The 17,720-nt window shown below is 43.1% G+C and overlaps 1 long non-coding RNA gene across 1 annotated transcript in view; it reads left to right on the top strand.

Annotated features, from left to right (window-relative positions):
• Positions 1-17,720, top strand: part of LOC107984253 (uncharacterized) — a 30,274-nt gene extending 12,554 nt beyond the window's left edge. Inside the window, exons 2-4 of the long non-coding RNA XR_001747550.1 lie at positions 5,763-5,846; positions 6,142-6,334; positions 17,638-17,720. This is a non-coding gene — a long non-coding RNA (uncharacterized LOC107984253). The remainder of the gene's footprint in view (positions 1-5,762; positions 5,847-6,141; positions 6,335-17,637) is intronic.

Raw genomic sequence — 17,720 nt, 5'->3', positions numbered from 1 at the left:
TGTGTGTGTGTGTGTTTTCCAACAGAGTCTCGCTCTGTTGCCCAGGCTGGAGTGCAATGGTGCGATCTCTGCTCACTGCCTGCAACCTCCGCCTCCTGGGCTCAAGCAATTCTCCTGCCCCAGCCTCCCGAGTAGCTGGGGTTGCAGGCGCCCACCACCACACCCACCTAATTTTTGTAGTTTTAGTAGAGAGGGGGTTTCACCATGTTGGCCACTCTGGTTTCGAACTCCTGACCTCGAATGATCCGCCCACCTGGACCTCCCAAAGTTCTGGGATTACAGGTGTGAGCCATCTTGCCCGGCCCTGATGGTTTTATAGAGGGGCGTTCCCCTGCACGCACTCTCTTGCCTGCTGTAGTGTTAAGATGTGACTTTGCTCCTCCTTCGCCTTCCATCATGATTGTGAGGCCTCCCTAGCGCTGTGGAACTGTGAGTCAATTACACCTCTTTCCTTTATAAATTACCCAGTCTCTGGTATATCTTTATTAGCAGTATAAGAACTAACTAATACATCATCCAACCAAACAATAATACTGATCACTTTGTGAGAGATAAAGATGAAGAAGAGATAGTTCCTATGTACAAGTAATTTATTGTTCATGTAGGAGACAAACAATTTTATAAAAAACTATAAGGCAAGGTAGAGAAAGAAAAGTCCTATAAGAGAAGTAAGAGTGCCATGGGGGTTCAGATTACTTCCATTTAGGGTGATCTAAGACAGTTTTACGGAGGAGGCAACAGGTGTATTGAACCTTCAGGGCTGACTATTCAGGAGGCAAGGATTCAGGAAAGCACCAAGCTTGTAGGAAGAACAAGGCATGGTTTGATCTGAGTAGGATGAAGGAAGAATGAAGGAAAATGGGAAAGAAGCTTAGGCATGGCAGTTTGACCACATAGGGCAAAACTCTAAACAAAAGCATCGGTTGTTTGGTTTAACTTTTGCCATAAACATCTGAAATCACATAAATGTTTTTGCCCTAGCCAGAAGTTCTCAGAAGGCCAGAACAGAGGATCAAATCTATATCTTTCTGGAAAAGACATTTCAAGGAAACGCAGCTCTTCACTTCTCTGTCAGGAGCAACTATGAACAGCAAATACCAGATACATCATCTTAGCTGCTTGGACACAAATAAGCAAAGAGAGGATGAAAATTCTGGCCAAACCCACCAAATAAAAGAGTGTGTGTATGTGGGAGAAATAAGCTGCAATGATCTGCGATTGGTCCACTAGCTTGGGATGGCCTGATTGGATGGAAGTTCAATGGCTGTGGAGAGGCACGAGGATGGAGACTAGGGTCATTGACCAACCATCAGCATAGTCTTAATTAAATATTAATATTATATTGAGAAACAGTGGCTAATGGCATTCATTATAGTGACTTTGCCCAGATGGTTTCTGCTAACACAAAAATTGGACTGGTCTGAAGGACTCTATTGAACATTTTTGTACTTTTAAGTTTCAATTTGATCTTAAATTCTCTGGGGTTAATGGCAAGATTGGGTAGAAGTAATGCAAAAATTCCAAGGAACAAATGCGTAATGGAAATGGAGAAACTAGCCTAGACTTGGTGAGTAGACTAGAACATGTACGTAAGTGTTGATTAAAACGATTTATCAAATCAGGAAAGAAATGCTAGGAAGGACGAGAAAATGCCAGAAAGATAAAGACTTTCCAATTTCTGTGCTCACAATTACTCAGGTTATGTTAGACATATAAAAATAATAAATTGTTCCCTACGATCCTAACGAAGTGTTATAAGAAGGAGGCTGATGAACAGGAAATGTTCACTTAGTCATCCATTGCCCCATTTCGTCCCTGGGAACTACCAAAGCAAGCTAATTTTTCTTTCATATATGTTCACTTGTTTTTGCTTTAATAGATGAAAAGTTATAGAATATTAAAACTAGATCATTTGATATCAATTTATTCATTCATTAATTTAAATGGATATTTACTGACTGATGACAATGTACCAAGTGCTGGGTATTCAATGGGATAATCAGATCGCCCAAAGGGGCTTACACTCTAGTGGGGAGCACAGACTAAGAGCAAGTAAAAAGAAAAATCCATAAATCAAATGATTACAAACCCTATTAAGTTATGAAGGAGTCAAACAATGGGCTGAAACAGAGAAAAAGGAGCTCAGAAAGGGAACAGAGGTGCGGAAAGGTGAAGGGGCCTACCTCAGGTCACCACAGTTAGTGGCAGGGCCAGAACCCCCATCTCCTAACTGCTAGGATCTTTTGACTATGTGCTAGGATCTTTTGACTATGTCACGTGTGTTGTCTGCTTTGACATAGAATCTGCCGTCTGTTCTCTGGAAATCTGTGTGGATACTGGATGATGTCTTGGCTGGTTTCTAAAAGCAGATGGGAAGGCTGAGTAGGGGGAGAGGAGAGGTTTACAAGCTGGAGGTGTGCTACGTGCTGCTACCTGTCTCTAAACAACTCACAGAGACAAGTCACAGCAAACTTTTAGAGGGCATTGCCCTGTCCTGGAAAAGACCTATAGTGTGATGTAATCCTTAGCAATAGAACATGTATGTAGGGGGTGGGGAGGGGCTTGCTGCTTTCTCTCCCACCTCCATGGAAATCATCTGAGATCCCTACTGGTCCCCCTCTACTTACTGGTTTAGGGAGAGTGGCTTGTCAGCATTTAGATTAGGCAAAGCTAAAATCATAGTGAATAGGCCTCTAGTGCAAGGAAGGTGTGGTTATGAATAGAGAGATTGGGTGGGTAAAGAGAAATTTCACAGCCTGTAGCATTTTGTGAAAGAACAGAAATTGTGTTTTCACCATAACAGAGTGGAGTGGTATTTCTCTAACAATGAGAGTTTCCACTAATGAATATAGTGACTTTGCAAATGATGTTTTTAAAAATACAATGGCTGATCCCAATAGAGTGGGAGCAGAAATAAAAATAAAATAAATAAAAAATACAATGGCTAGGTCTATTCCTTCTGGGTTTCCAGCTTTAGGCATATGGTAGATGAAACTTCAAGGATGGAGTAAGACAAGAATGAGTTTACTGGCTTCAGGTTGTGCCCTGGGGAGTCAGCAGGTTCTATGATGTCATCTGAGCAGAATGAACAAAGATGAGTGACGACCCCAAAATGGGAAAAGGTACATTTTGTAGGTTAGATTATTATTTCCAATGATTCCTTCCCAATACTTGATTGGCTCCCTGTTATAATATTATACCTCTATATGCCTTGCCACGGCTTTGTTGACACTGTGGAGGACAGGGTATATTCCCTGCTCCACTGATATTGATCTTGGCCGTGTGACTTGCTTTGGCTAGTGGAATGTTAGCAGATCTAATGTGTGCAGTGTGCACACATGTAGCTCCCGGCTCCAGAATGAGGAAATGTGTGTAGAGCAAACCTGAACCCAACTTGCAATTTGGAACCAAGGCTCAGCCAAATTGCTGCCTGAAGCAGAGCTGCCCTAGCTGAGTGAGAAAAATAAATGTTCATTGTTGGAGATTGGATGTGTATGTGTGTGTGTTTTGCTGTGCACCATTATTATAGCAATAGTTGATTAATACAGTAAACATGTGTGGAGCAGGCAACAGATATCAACTGGGGCAACCACAGTCTGGAATTCACTTATTTATCATATGTGTGCTAAATTGCCCCTTTTGGCAAGCCTTGTGCTGGGCTTGGAGCATCAAATGAAAATAAATAGCATGGTCATGGCTGGAGGGGCAAAGACAATCTAGTAACATAATAGACATGTAACAGACAATGCCAACGCACAAGGGTGATAGCAAGGCTGTGTACGGTATGTTCTGGCCACACAGCATGCCTGGAGGGACTTGGAGAAAGTGACACAGAGGATGACATTTGGATCAGATCTTCAAGGATGACTAGGACTTGATCAGGAGGGAAGGAGAAAAGAGCACTGCAGGCCTGGGGAACAGTGCAGAGGCAGGGCCACTGGAGAGTCCCTAAAAGGGAAAGCAGCCCAGTGTGGTTAGAGAGAATGGAGGGGAGTGGCAGGAAATGAGGCTAGAAAGTTGGACTGGGCTGTGTTGGAAGGGCCTGAGACTAAGGAGTGAGGACTTTATTTAGTAGCTTTAGTTCATGGACTTTTAAAAGGAACTCTCTGAGATTTTTAAGCAGTGGATGATGCAATCAAAGCCATGCTTTAGAACAGTGCTTTGTTTTTAACTTTTATTTGAGAGTTAGGGGGTACATGTGCAGGTTTGTTACAAAGGTGTATATATATATACCTTTGTAACAAGGTGTATACATATATATGTATACATATATATGTACACATATATATATGTGTGTATATATATATATATATATAAAATTTTTTATTTTTTTTGAGACAGAGTGTTGCTCTGTTGCCCAGGCTAGAGTGCAGTGGCACGATCTCAGCTCACTACAACCTCCACCTCCCAGGTTCAAGCGATTCTCCTGCCTCAGCCTCCCAAGTACCTGGGATTACAGGTGCATGCCACTACGCCCAGCTAATTTTTGTGTCTTGGGGGTTTCACAATGTTGGCCAGGCTGGTCTCGAACTCCTGACCTCAGGTGATCCACCCGCCTTGGCCTCCCAAAGTGCTGGGATTACAGGCATGAGCCACCGTGCCTGGCCTACAAAGGTATATTGCATGATGCTGAGGTTTGGGATATGACTGAACCCATCACGCAGGTAGTGGACATAGTACCACTATGGTTTTTTTTCAGGTAGTTTTTCAGCCCTTGCTCCCCTCCCTCTCTCCCCTCTCTTCACTAGTAGTCTCCAGTGTCCACTGTTACCACTTTATTAGTACCCAATGTTTAGCTGTCACCTATAAGTGAAACATGCAGTATTTGCTTTTCCATTTCTGCCTCAGTTCACTTAGGTTAGTGGCCTCTAGCTGCATCCATGTTGCTGCAAAGGACGTGATTTCATTGTTTTTGTATGGCTGTAGTACATGGTGTACATGTATCACGTTTTTGTTATCCAGTCACTCTTGATGGATACCTGGGTTGATTCCAAATTTTTGCTATTGTAAATAGTGCTGTGATGAACATATGAATGCATGTGTCCTTTTGGTAGAACAATATATTTTCCTTTCGGTATACATCCAGGAACGGTGTTGCTGGGTCAAATGGTAGTTCAACTCTTAGTTCTTTGAGAAATCTCTAAATTGCTCTCCACAGTGGCTGGACTAATTTACATTCCTACCAAGAGTGTATCAATGTCCCCCTTTCTCTCCACAGCCTCATGGATTTTGTTAAACAGTCAAAAAATAACAGGACAGTGTTTCTTAGGGTGTGTTCCCAGGACCAGTAAATTGTTAGAAATGCAAATTCTTGGTCCAAACCTACTAAACCAGAGACTCCAGAGTGGGCCCAGAAATCTATGTTTTAAAAAGCACTCCAGGGCTGGGTGCAGTGGCTCACGCCTGTAATCCCCACACTTTCGGAGGCCGAGGTGGGTGGATCACCTAAGGTCAGGAGTTCAAGACCAACTGGCCAACATGGTGAAACCCTGTCTCTACTAAAAATACAAAAATTAGCTGGATGAGGTGGTGGATGCCTGTAATCCCAGCTACTAGGGTGGTTGAGGTAGGAGAATTGCTTGAACCCAGGAGGCGGAGGTTTTGGTGAGCCGAGATGGCACCACTGTACTCCAGCCTGGGCAACAACAGCAAAACTCCATCTCAAAAAAAAGTACTCCAAGTCTATGTTTTAAAAAGCACTCCAGGTGATTCGGATACATGCTAAAGTTTGAGATTCACTGCTTAGGACAATTCTCTTTCAGCTGTCAAGAGTCTGGAGTGAGGGCCTCATGCTGGGAAGAGTTTCTGAAGAGCCACAGTAGAATCAGGAGGCACCTCCCTTGAGGGTAAGGAAATATGAGAGATTCTAACTACTCATCTGGCCCCAGAGCAACAAGATCAAGGTGGTCAGGGTGTAGGCAGTATAGGCATTCATCCATTCACTTCTTTATTCATTTGCTCAAGAATCCTTTCTTGGCAATGACTATGAGCAGGTGTGGAACTGGGTCTGGGAGATAGAATTCTAGAAAAGAGGATGTTGTTGCCCTGTGAGGGACTCACATCTAGTGGCATCAGCTCTGTTCTGGGTGGAGCAAGATTCCAAATGCTTACTCATCTCTTTCTCTTTTCCTTTTTCTTTAGAGGTTAATGAGCATTAAATTTTTGATGAACATCAGGGTCTTCAATGAAGAGGATGATGATAATTGCTATCATTGATTGAGCACTTACCATGAGCTAGACCCTGATCTAAGATCTTTGTGGCTGTTAAATCTTCACAATAGCTCCATGAGGTAGATCCTACGATTATCCACATCGTACAGATAAGTGAATCAAGGTACGTGGAGGATAGCATTCTGTCTACTTTCCTACAAACCATTAAGTGCAAAAATGGGATTTGATCTCAGCCAGTCACCGTGCTGATGACATCTTTCAACCTGCTGGGCTAGCAGGATATTGAGAATTCCAGGAGAAACGAGGTAAGTAGTATATTGTAAGAGGAGAACCTTGGAGGGCACAAGGAGAAAACAGCTTCATTCTTTTCCCCACCATGTGCTTGAACCTGCTCCTTGGAACTAGTTCCCCTCTGCCCTCTGGGTGTGTCTAGGGCAGGTCCCCTGATGCTTCTAGTCACCTGTAGATAATAAAAAGTTTTCCAGTTACTTATTGTCACAAAGATAATCTCATTTCAGTAAAAAAAAATCCATTCATAGGTGTTAATCAACACTTTAGATTTCACTTAAGATTCTTCTTGCTGGGCCTGGAGTAGGGCAGGGCTAGCTTCCTCTAGACTTCCTCACCTTGGTCCTCCACCCTCAACTCCTGCTACTTTCTCCATAGCTCCAGCTACTCACTAGGAGAGGGAATACGGAGGACATGTCAGGGACAGGAAAGGTCAAGTTTGACTGGCACCAATGTCATATGGCGATGGATTCTGCTGGCTGTGGCGGATGATTCAAGCTGACTCTGGGCTTGGGGGAATTTCAAAGCCGATCTTTTTGGGGCTGTACTTGTGGGTTCTCTGGAGGCCTACACTGGGAACATTAGACTGTACTGCCTGTGTCATGCCTCAGATGCATGTTCTCTGTGACTGTTTATGTTTTTTCCCTCAGCTCCCCATAATCCTGGGTCCTTTCCCAGCTTAGGTTTGAAGCCCCCTCCAGGCCAGTTCTCTCTCCTGAGCAGTCTTCTGGTTCACAGAGAATATTCATGTATCTTTTGTCCAAAAAACACTGGGAATACTGGTGTGTCTGCACTCAGCCACTCTTCCATTCAGTTGCTCTGGCTACTGGCTGCTGCCTTTCTGCTTGAGATGGTTTGGCTATGTCCCCACCCAGCCAAATGATTTTATAAGGGGTTTCGCCTTTTGCTTGGTTCTCATTCTCGTTGCCTGCCGCCATGTAAGACTTGCCTTTCTCCTTCTGCCATGATTGTGAGGCCTCCCCAGCCACGTAGAACTGTGAGTCCATTGAACTTTTTCTTTATAAATTACCCAGTCTCAAGTATATCTTTATTAGCAGTGTGAAAACAGACTAATACACTGCTTTTCCAATATGCATCAGATTAGTCCACTGTGTTCACTGCCTTCTGCAGACTCGATGAACACATGTCAAACCCTCTAAGTACGATGGGAGGAAAGTACCTAACTCTCTAACAACTTTTTGTAAAGAAATGCTTCAATTTCCAATCATACTTCAACCCCAATCCTTTTAGATCTCAGAGGTATATGAGGGATAAGGGTAATAAAACCGGGCTAGCCATGTCCTTTGCAAGTTTTGCTTGGTTGGCTTCAGCCACTACCAAGACAGAAAGAGTCCCATGAAAGATCCTTATTATTATTATTATTATTATGAATTATGCATTTCTTATGATTCCCTTAAGAGCTCCCTTTCCATACCCTTTACTCCCAAGGACTTGAGAGCTCTTTTATTTGCATTTAAAGAGAACACTTCAAGAACTTGAGAAGTGTGTAGGCTGAGCTGTTTATTTATTGTTTAAAATTGTAGCTAACAATTCATTAAAGGTGTATCAATCTTTAAAATTGAGATAGGAAATAAAATAAGAAAAAAAGGGGCATAACCTCATCAAGGTTATCCTAAATGTGGTGGGGCAGAGATCTACTAACACACTGTATTGATTCACTGATACCATAAATCAATTTTGTATGCCCCTCCCCTGACCCTGACTTCTCTGACAAACTTCAACAGACAGCCACAATAGCAAGATTCATATACCTTTTCCTGAATGAGGGAGAAAAGGAAAGTGTACCATATGATATAAATTTTTGAAGGGAGAACTAAGGAAGGGAATAGGGAGAGAGCTCTACCATATGTTGTTGGAAATCTGATTTAAAGTTTCCCTAGCAGTCGGAAATGGGACTAGGAATTACAGCACTTTTTCATTTAAACTCCTAAATTGTGCAAGTTCTAAATTTGGGATTTCTACGAAGCACTTCAGAAGGACTGAGATACCTATATTTTTCTACCCTTAGGCTCGCTAAAGAAATATGAACAATCTAAAGAGCAGAATGTACTTCATTTTGAAGTAACAAAATTACTTATTGTTGATGTGTAGTCATTTAAAGCATTAGTATTGATTAAACAATAAATTAATTTAGCAAATAATTACTGACTACCTAATATGTTGCTTACACTGTATTAGGGGATTGAGAATACAATGATGAACAAGGAGATTTACCATCACAGAATTTTATAATTTGCCATCAGGAGTCAGATAAATAAAACAGCAGTTAAAATGTGTTGTGATAAAGGCAGAAGTCCAGAGAAGGATAGGACCACATAAGCAGCCCTTAATTCTGTCTGGGGCATGGTGGTAGTGCCAAGGAGGCTTCCGGGAGGAAGTGACATTTGCACTGAGGTCTGGAGGGTGACGAGGAGTTAGTCAGATGCAAAGGAGAGATGAGTATTCAAAGAATACACACACTAAAAAATGTAAATAAAGGAGGCCCATTTGAGATGTAGAATTCTTTGATCACCAAAATATAAACTAGATCTTCCAATGCAAGCATATTTTTTTTCTAAAGTATTTGGGGGCAATGAAGAGATAAAGAACAAAGAGCCAGATTGGCATCCAACGTCCCTAGAGATGACGTGGCAACCTCACTGTGCTTACACATGGTGGCATCTGTCTCTGATCAATAGCTGCTCTAATGGGAACAGGCATGCCCCAAGGCCCACTGGGAGTGGGATCTTTTGCTGACAGTCCTAAAAAGGATGCCAACCCAACAGACATAATCTAAGGAGTCAGAGCAGGAGTCAAACTTGAAGATGGAGATGCTCTAAAACCCTGTTGCCGTCCCCATCTTCAAGGAGGGGTGGGTAGAGTGCGAGTGTGCCTAACTCTGCATTTTTCCTATGGCCCCTGCTGACTTCAGTTTTGGAAGATAAATATGCATTATAAGAGTTAGTTGAGAAATACCTAGCTCTATCTTTCTAGAACATTTGTTAAGAATTCCAGGTAGCCGCACCCCCCTCCAAAGTTTCAAGTATGATGAGTCAAATAGAAGGTACTCAGTAAATGTTCATTAAGTCAGTTAATTAACAGGCAAGTTTGCTCAAAGGCAGAAGGCTTATTGCAGATTGGATGGTGTTTGGGGCCTTGCTTTCACTCATCTTCCTGCAGTCTCCCTTTGTCTTTCTTCCAGCTCTCTCTGCTGAGCTGAGTCAACACCTGCTCATCCTTAAAGGCTGACTGCAAATTCTTCAAGGATTGCAAATCCTTAAAGGCTTTCTACAAATTCTCTATGCAAAATGGGAAACCCCCTCCTCCAGGCTCGTGCAGCGCTTGTCCATGCCATGACCTACTTTCCTAACAACACTGTACTGGAGTGATTTGTCACTGTGTTTGTTACCTCCGTTCGGAGCCCTTGTGTGCCTCATTCAGTTCCGTTTCTACAGTGCCTAGTGTGCCTTCCTGGGGAGGGTTAACAGTTGTGTTGTGAGTGATTAAATCCCACTGTCCATATATCAAATACTAATTGTACACAGTGTTTTCCTCCAGCATACTTGGGATCATAATTCAACACCTCTCAGCACCTTGGCCGAGGTGCCCTGCACTTCCCTCCCGCGCCGATGCTGCCATGCTTTTGGAGGGGCTAGGATAGGGCTTGAGCCCTCAGAGAGCCTTGGCATCATGTTATTGGGAACAGAGAAGCTCTCACTCATTCCTTAATTGGAGAGATTTGAGTTGAGGACCTGACATGGCCAAATAAAGAGTGCCTCTGCAGCATAGAGGAGGCTCACACACGGGGCTCTATGATTGTTTTCCAGAAGTGTGTTACTTTTTGTTTTTTTTTTTTTGACACAGAGTCTCACTCCGTGGCCCAGGCTGGAGTGCAGTAACATGATCATAATTCACTGCAGCCCCAAACTCTTGGGCTCTAGCTATCCTCCTGCCTCAGTCTCCCGAGTAGCTGGGACTACAAGTGCGTGCCACTACGCCATGCTAATTACATTTTTTTTTTTTTTTTTTTTGGTAGAGATGGTTTCTTGCTATGTTGCCCAGGCTGGTCTCAAACTCCTTAACTCAAGCGATTCTTCTGTCTTGACCTCCCAAAGTGCTGGAATTACAGGCATGAGCCACCATTCCCGGCCTGTGTGTTACTTTTCTCTAGAGTAAGAGCAATCCTTGGAAGAAGAAAGGCTGTTTCTAGCCTGACCTAAAGCCTTTTAGAGACTCCTGAGATACTAAAAAATGATGAAATGTCAAGTGTTTCCATGCTAAGAGGTAGATGCTTTTAATGAGTAACATTGCAGTGTGATTGTGCTATTAGCAAGGATTTATTTTTAAAAACCCTTACTTCAGAGGATAGTGATTCAGCATGGGGACACTGGAGGCTGGACAGCCTGAGTTCAAATTGTGGCCTAGCATTTATTAGCCATGTGATCTTGGGCACATGATGTGGTCTTTCTGTACCTCAGTTTCCAATCTATAAAATAGGCATAGTAGTATCTCCTCATAGGGTTTTTGTGAGGGTTAAACGTAAGTCTTAGAGAAGTACCTAGATTCTTACAACAGTTTGCACTATGCAAGTGTTAGTTGTTATTATTGTTGTTATTGTTTTAATGTACTCCCAGCAGTGTCATCTAGTTGACGCTGTTGAGTTTTGTCTTGAATGCCAGTTTTTTTCACTCTTGTCAGGGTATCTCTATGGCTATAAGTTCTTTTTGCTGATAATTTCAAAATTCTAAGTTTAAGGCCCTTTGTGAGCTGAGTCCTGGGTCAGATGGTATCTTGGCACCCCCTTGTGAAATGGGATGCCTGCCTCTGCTTCTGAGAGTGGTAGGGATTCCACCTCAAATCTTCCACTCAAGGGAGCGCTCCCTCCCTGCCCCCAGTGGCATACAACCTCAGGAGTAGGGCTGTGGCTGGGCTTTCGGGATGAAAATTCAGTGACTAAGGTCAGGGTGGTGAGGGTGAACCTCCGACAAAAGCTGTAGACACACTAGTTGTTGGATTCAATCATTCAGCTGATCACCAGGGTGTGACTCTTTCTTTCTCTTTAAATGTCAGATTCTGTTCTCCCTCCTGCTAATATTAAAAGTGATCGTGTGTCCAATTGGCACAGAACAAATTTTACATTGCTAACAGGTTCCATGGCACAATGCAAAGGGCCCATGTATCAGTACTTGCAGTATCCACAGAGGGCTGTGGTAATCCCTTTCCCTATATATAGCTGTGACTGTCACCATCCAACCTGTGGGTGGTATGCTGTCGCCACCTGCATACCTTACAGGATTCATGTGTCACCTAACAGCTTCCCGCTGCTGCCCTAGCTAAAGCCTGGTATGTAGGAAGAGTGGCACAAAACTGGCATGGAAGCTGAGTGAGTGGGACTCAGGGCACAGACAGGGAGGGGTGTCCTCTCCTCCAAGGTCACACTGAGCTTCGTGGTGACCTTGGCTCCTACCCCATGGTCAGAGCTTTGATGCTGGCACCAACACCCCAATTTAGATGCCTGCTCTGCATCCTGCCAAATCTTGGCCACATTCCAGCACCACCAATTATCTTGCCTAGCAGCAGTGAGGCGGCAGTCACAACGCAGAAGTGTGTGGGCGGCTGCTCTGTGTTTCTAGGCCTGTGCTACTGGGGAGCATTCCTGCAAAATCCCTGCCACTCTTCACCCAGTGGCAGGGGCAGTGGCACCTTGGGAGCTTAAAGGCATGAAGTGCAAATGAGAGGAAGGCATTTAGTTTTGGCAAAACATTCCAAATCATTACAGTGGCTGTGAGGAGACATTTTACTGAAGCCTTCTGGGGGGCTGGTGTGCATCATTAGCTGCTGGCAAGCATGCCATTACTTTATGCCTCGCAAGCGTGGGCCCCTGGAGAGGTTTGGGCGTAGGATGCCCATTGATTGAGTTATTTCTAGGGCAATTATATTCCTGGTTTCTCTTCCTGCAGGAAAAAAAATTACCCACGTCAAGGTAGCACGTTTGAGCGCCCTACATTTCTAATGTGTTTTGCCTGGAGCAGACAATGAGCCTACCCACCACCTGGTGAGGAGAGGTGGGTGGACAGGGGGCAGATGAATGTGTTCAGCTCCCTCAGCCTCCAAGCTGGAGCAGGCAGGGCATTTGGCCTTGAAGTTTTCAAATTTCTAACTGGGAAGGGCAACATTTAAAATTTTTGCTGTGACTATTGAGAAAGACCTAAGTAAAAAAAAAATTCTCCTCTAGCATTTATACTCTGCATATAATCAGGAGAAATTCTCTAAAGAAGTGGCTTCCAAACTGTGTTTTTAAATTGGAGGGATTTTTTAGAAAATGTGAAATCTTATGCTGCATAATGTACAACAACAACAACAACAACAACAACAACAACAACAACAACAGGAAGCCCTCCCTGATGGTCATAGAGGCTGCACCAACTCTTTCTTCAGGTACTTGGAGGTGGCGCCACAGATTTCCAACATCCATGGTGGTGCCAAACCCTCTCTTTGGTTTGATTTCACAGTTATCCCCCTTATTCCCAAAGTTTTCCTGATTTAATCTCCCAGATTTGCAAGGGGGCCTTGTCTTTGGGGCAATCAGGTGTCATCAGTGAGTTTTGACACAGAAGCTCCAGAAGCCTGGGCATTTTATTCTGCATGATTCCAGCGGTGAGATTCCAGTGGGGTGCATGGAGATCTGAGGCTCCTCTCCTCATCTGACTTGGTGATGGCCAGTGCTTGGCAAAGCTTAGTAATTTGTTGAATCATCTGTTATTCAATACATATGCACTGCACACCTTCTTCATGCTGCCAGCATCCCAGATTGAGCTCACAGATCTTAAATTCTCAAGTGGGAAGAGAAAAGAAATAAGGAGACAAGCAAGCCGACAAAAATGATTATTTCAGTTAGTGATAAATACTATGAAGAAAATAAAGTAGGTTAATGGGATAGGGAGAGATTGACAGGTCAGATGGAGTTGGAGACGGGAGCTGGGGAGTCACTCTTTAGATTAGGGCTCAGGGAAGGCTTTACTGAGGAGTAACATTTAAGCTGAGACCTGAATGGTGAGAAGATATCCAGCTAACAGAAAGCCCGTGGTATTCCTGGCAGATGAAACAGCAGGTATAGCCCATGAAGGGGAACATGCCTGGCTTGTTTGAAGAACAGAAAGCTGGCTAGTGTGACAGAGACCTTAGGCACCTGGGGGAACAGTGGCACAAGATGAGGACAGAGGCAACATAGAAGGCCTCATCACACAGGCCAAGTCTAGGCATTTGAGTTTTATTCTAAGAGTAATGAGACTGCATTGGAGGATTTTAAGGTTTTCTCTCAGCTGAGCCTCATTCCCTTTTTTCAGTGTGTGCAATGCAATCATATCCAAAAGATGTGCAAATTTAGTATTGCCACCCTGTTAACAACTAAAACCTACAGCTTCAGCACCATAAGATGGTAAGGAAAGAAAGGAAAAAAAAAAAACCCCAAAACCAAACATAAAAACAAACAGAAAAAAACCCACAGCTACCTCAATTGGACAAAATAATGGGATCCTAAAGAAACCACGAATGCTAGAATTTATTCATTTGACAAATTTTGTTGTTGATACCCAGTCTAGGCTTTAAGCGGTGTGACCTTAGGCAAGTCACTCACTTATCTTTGCCTAACTTTTCTCATCTGTAAAAGGGGGAGAATAATAGTACTTCTCATATAATGTTGTTTTGAGGATAAAATGTTTGTAAAATGTGTAGATCACATGGTAAACATGATATGTGTTTGCTATTATTCTATATGCAAAGGCACAATTGACTGATACATTTGTTCATCTATTTTACAAATATTTCTTGAGTACCTGTCATGTGCTTGGTGCTGTACCAAGTGCTGAGATGCAATTATGAGCAGGCCAGACTTTGTCCCTGCCTGGCACCTGGCTTCTTGCACCTTACTCTATGTGAAAACAGGCATGTGGTTGCTGAGGAGGGACCCACCAGCTTTGGCCAATGTATGCGGAAAGGGGCAAGGAACGGTACAAAGGTTGCTTTATTACACCGGGAGCCACTGGGAGTCCAACCCAGGTCCTATCCCCTAGAAGGCCCCCTGGAGTCTGCAGATAATATTCAAATATAAAAAGAATTTCCTTGGAAGAACCATCTGGTGGCAGTGAGCATGGGCACCCATTGGGTCCTCAGCCTCTGCTGCCATCTAGTTAGTTGACATCATGTTATCACTGAGTGCTCTTAAATCCTAAGTCTTGATTTAGACTGAGTACTCAGGGAAGGCTTTACTGTTTCTCAGCTCTAGTCTTTTGCTCCTGGCTTCTGCTTCAATTGGTATCCGAAACAAATAGTACTATTGCAGTTCATTTGGGCTGCTATAACAGAATGCCATAGACTGGAGGCTTATAAGCAGCAGAAATTTATTTCTCACAGTTCTGGAGGCTGGGAAGTCCAATGTCAAAGTGCCTGCAGATTTGGTGTCTGATGAGGTTCATTTCCCCGTTCACAGATGGTGCCTTCTAGCTGTGTCCTGACATGGCATACAGAATAGAGGCTCTCTGGTGTCCCTTTTATAGGGGCACCAATCCCATTCATGAGGGTACTGCCTTCATGACTTAATCTTACTTCCCAAAGGTTCCACCTCCAAATACCATCACACTTGGGATTAGGTTTTAACATTGAATTTTGAGGGCACACAAACATTTAGACGTAGCAAGTAGTATCTCTCTTCCCAACTTAGGCATGGCCACCAGGCATGTTCCAATAGAACAGTATCAGGCATGGATATGTGGTGAGCCAAATTAGCTTCCCAAATGACAGCAGGAGTTACTTGCAGGTTCCTAACAGTCTAGACTCAGACAAGTTATTGTTATTTTAAAATTGCACCAGTTCCTTGATTCATAGTGTTAGAGCAGGAAGGGTCAGAGAGCTCACTTGAAGAAAATCACCTTACGGATCTTTCTAAATGACAATGATTCTCACATTACTCCCCCTTGAAAAGTGTTCTGCAGCTCTTCATAGCTTTTGAGGTGGTCTGGACACCTTAGTGCCTGGTCTTCATGATGTGGTTTCTCTATACTGCAGTGACCTGGCCCCTTCATATCTTCTCCCCCCTAAATTTCCTACCATACCTCACTACTTTGTTCTCCCAGCATGCCCTGCTTCTCTCTCTGCTCCCCCTGCCACCCCCTACCCAGATTTATTTTCCCAAGGACATCTAATCAACTTGGTATCGTCTCTTCCAGAAAGTCTTCCTTCCTCCCTCAACATTAGATCGTGCTCTCTGGACCACAGCACTCTGCACACTGTGTAGGCTGTCTCCTTGGGTGCCTCTTTTAGTAGGCCTGGCCTCCTACAAGGAAGGTCTCACCTCTTCATCTCTGTATTTCCCCTGGGCTTAATAAATGACTGTTAAGTGAATAAGTAGTGAAATATGATAACTATTTTCTAAAATTCTTATTGCAAATAAGTACATTCCTGTTTATCACTTCCTATGTGTCAGTTTTAGGGTTAGAGGAAAAAATAGTCATTATTCCTATAAAAGGCCTTGGAACTCTTGTGTGGCTTATTTTTTGCTGTGATATACCTTTCCGTATATCAGATGGTAATTGATTCTCCTTTCTCTGATGCACCCTCAGTATCTTATGATTACAACTATTTTGAATGTCCAGTAGGGTTGATTTTTCTAGTTTTTTTTTTTTTTTTGAGACAAGATCTTTCTCTGTCTCCCAGGCTGGAGTGCAGTGGCACGATCTCAGCTCACTGCAACCTCTGCTTCCTGGATTCAAGCAATTCTTGTGCTCAGCCTCCTCAGGAGCAGCTGGGACCATAGGCACGCACCACCACGCCAGTTAATTTTTTTTTTTATTTTTTATTTTTTAGTAGAGATGGGGGTTTCACCATGTTGGTCAGGCTGGTCTTGAACTCCTGACCTCAAGTGATCTGCCTGGCTTGGCTTCCCAAAGTGCTGAGATTACAGGTGTGAGCCACTGCGCCTGGCCTATTTCCCCAGTTTTTTGATTGGGCTTGAACCAAAAGGAGTATTAGAAATGTCTTGTAATTAGGTAAGCATAACAGCTTTCACTACATATAACAGAAACTACATATAACAACAATACAACACTGGCTTAAACAGAGAAATTTATTCTTCTTCCATATAAAAGAAGTCTGAAGGTTGAATGCCATCTTCCATTTCCTCGCAGTGAGGCCTTGGGTAAGTTAGTAACTTCGAAATCCTTCAGATAGCTGTAAATTAAACTAATAATATTATTACAGGGCTTTTGTGAAGACACAATGTGAATGTGAACTAATACTATTATCACAGGGCTTTTGTGAAGACACAGTGAAACCCTGGCCTGGCACAGAGTAAATAATAAATGTTAGAAAAAAAATGACAACTATTATTTTATTATTACTGCTAGTTGTTTGCTTTATCAGCCCCTTTACATTTGCTGCTTTTTAGTAAATTAATAAATGTCCAGATTTGTGTAATTTTCAGACATTAGCTGCAGGCATCTCTCTGACACCATGTACTGTAAACAATTGTTTTAAGTGTTCTGTTATGAACCCTGACACAGCAATATCACATCGTCCTGCCCTCAAAGAATCCTTTAGAGGCAGTGCTTCTTGTGCAGAAATAAGACTTTTGCAGGAATCAGAATGGGGCCAGCTGCCTTTGGGCCATACTCCTAGGGCCTATAGAAATAACTACCATTGGCATCCATGGTCATGGGTTACGTGTTTCTGGAAGATGGCATCCATCATTTCTTTTGATTTGAATTTGACAATTAAAGTAAGATGGCCCAGTGGTTAATGATTCATCTGGATAATGTTTTTAGACAAAGTATACAAAGGTAAATTCACTTTCTTTGTCTTGTCTAAGCTCTCCAGATTGAAAAACCTGAGATAAAGCATGTATGTGCTATTTCTATTAGAGCAGGATGAAGGGACAAAGGAAGAGTGGCAGGCAGGGAGGGAGGGAGTCAATAGGATGGTGTGTTGCCAAGTTGGTCACTGCTAATTGTTTGATCCCAAGGGACCATCATAACTGTCTTCCAAGAAGCCAAATAAATTGTGTGTCAGAATAGTCCATTGGAGAGAAGAAAGAGCAATCTGTTCATTGATTCCTGTCTCCCACTGGTCAAAGGTTTTTCCCATGAGATGTTAACTCCTCCATACTTTCATTTTGCACATGCACAGGTGCCGGGGAGGTGTCATGGTGCCCCAGACCTCTGTGTCAAAAGAGAACCCCCAGAGCAAGAAACAGGAAACATCGAGTGCAG

Source organism: Homo sapiens, chromosome 10, assembly GCF_000001405.40.
Source record: "Homo sapiens chromosome 10, GRCh38.p14 Primary Assembly".
Lineage (NCBI taxonomy): Eukaryota > Metazoa > Chordata > Mammalia > Primates > Hominidae > Homo > Homo sapiens.
The sequence above is the reverse complement of the archived record's forward strand: the minus strand, read 5'-3'. Positions and strand labels throughout refer to the sequence as shown.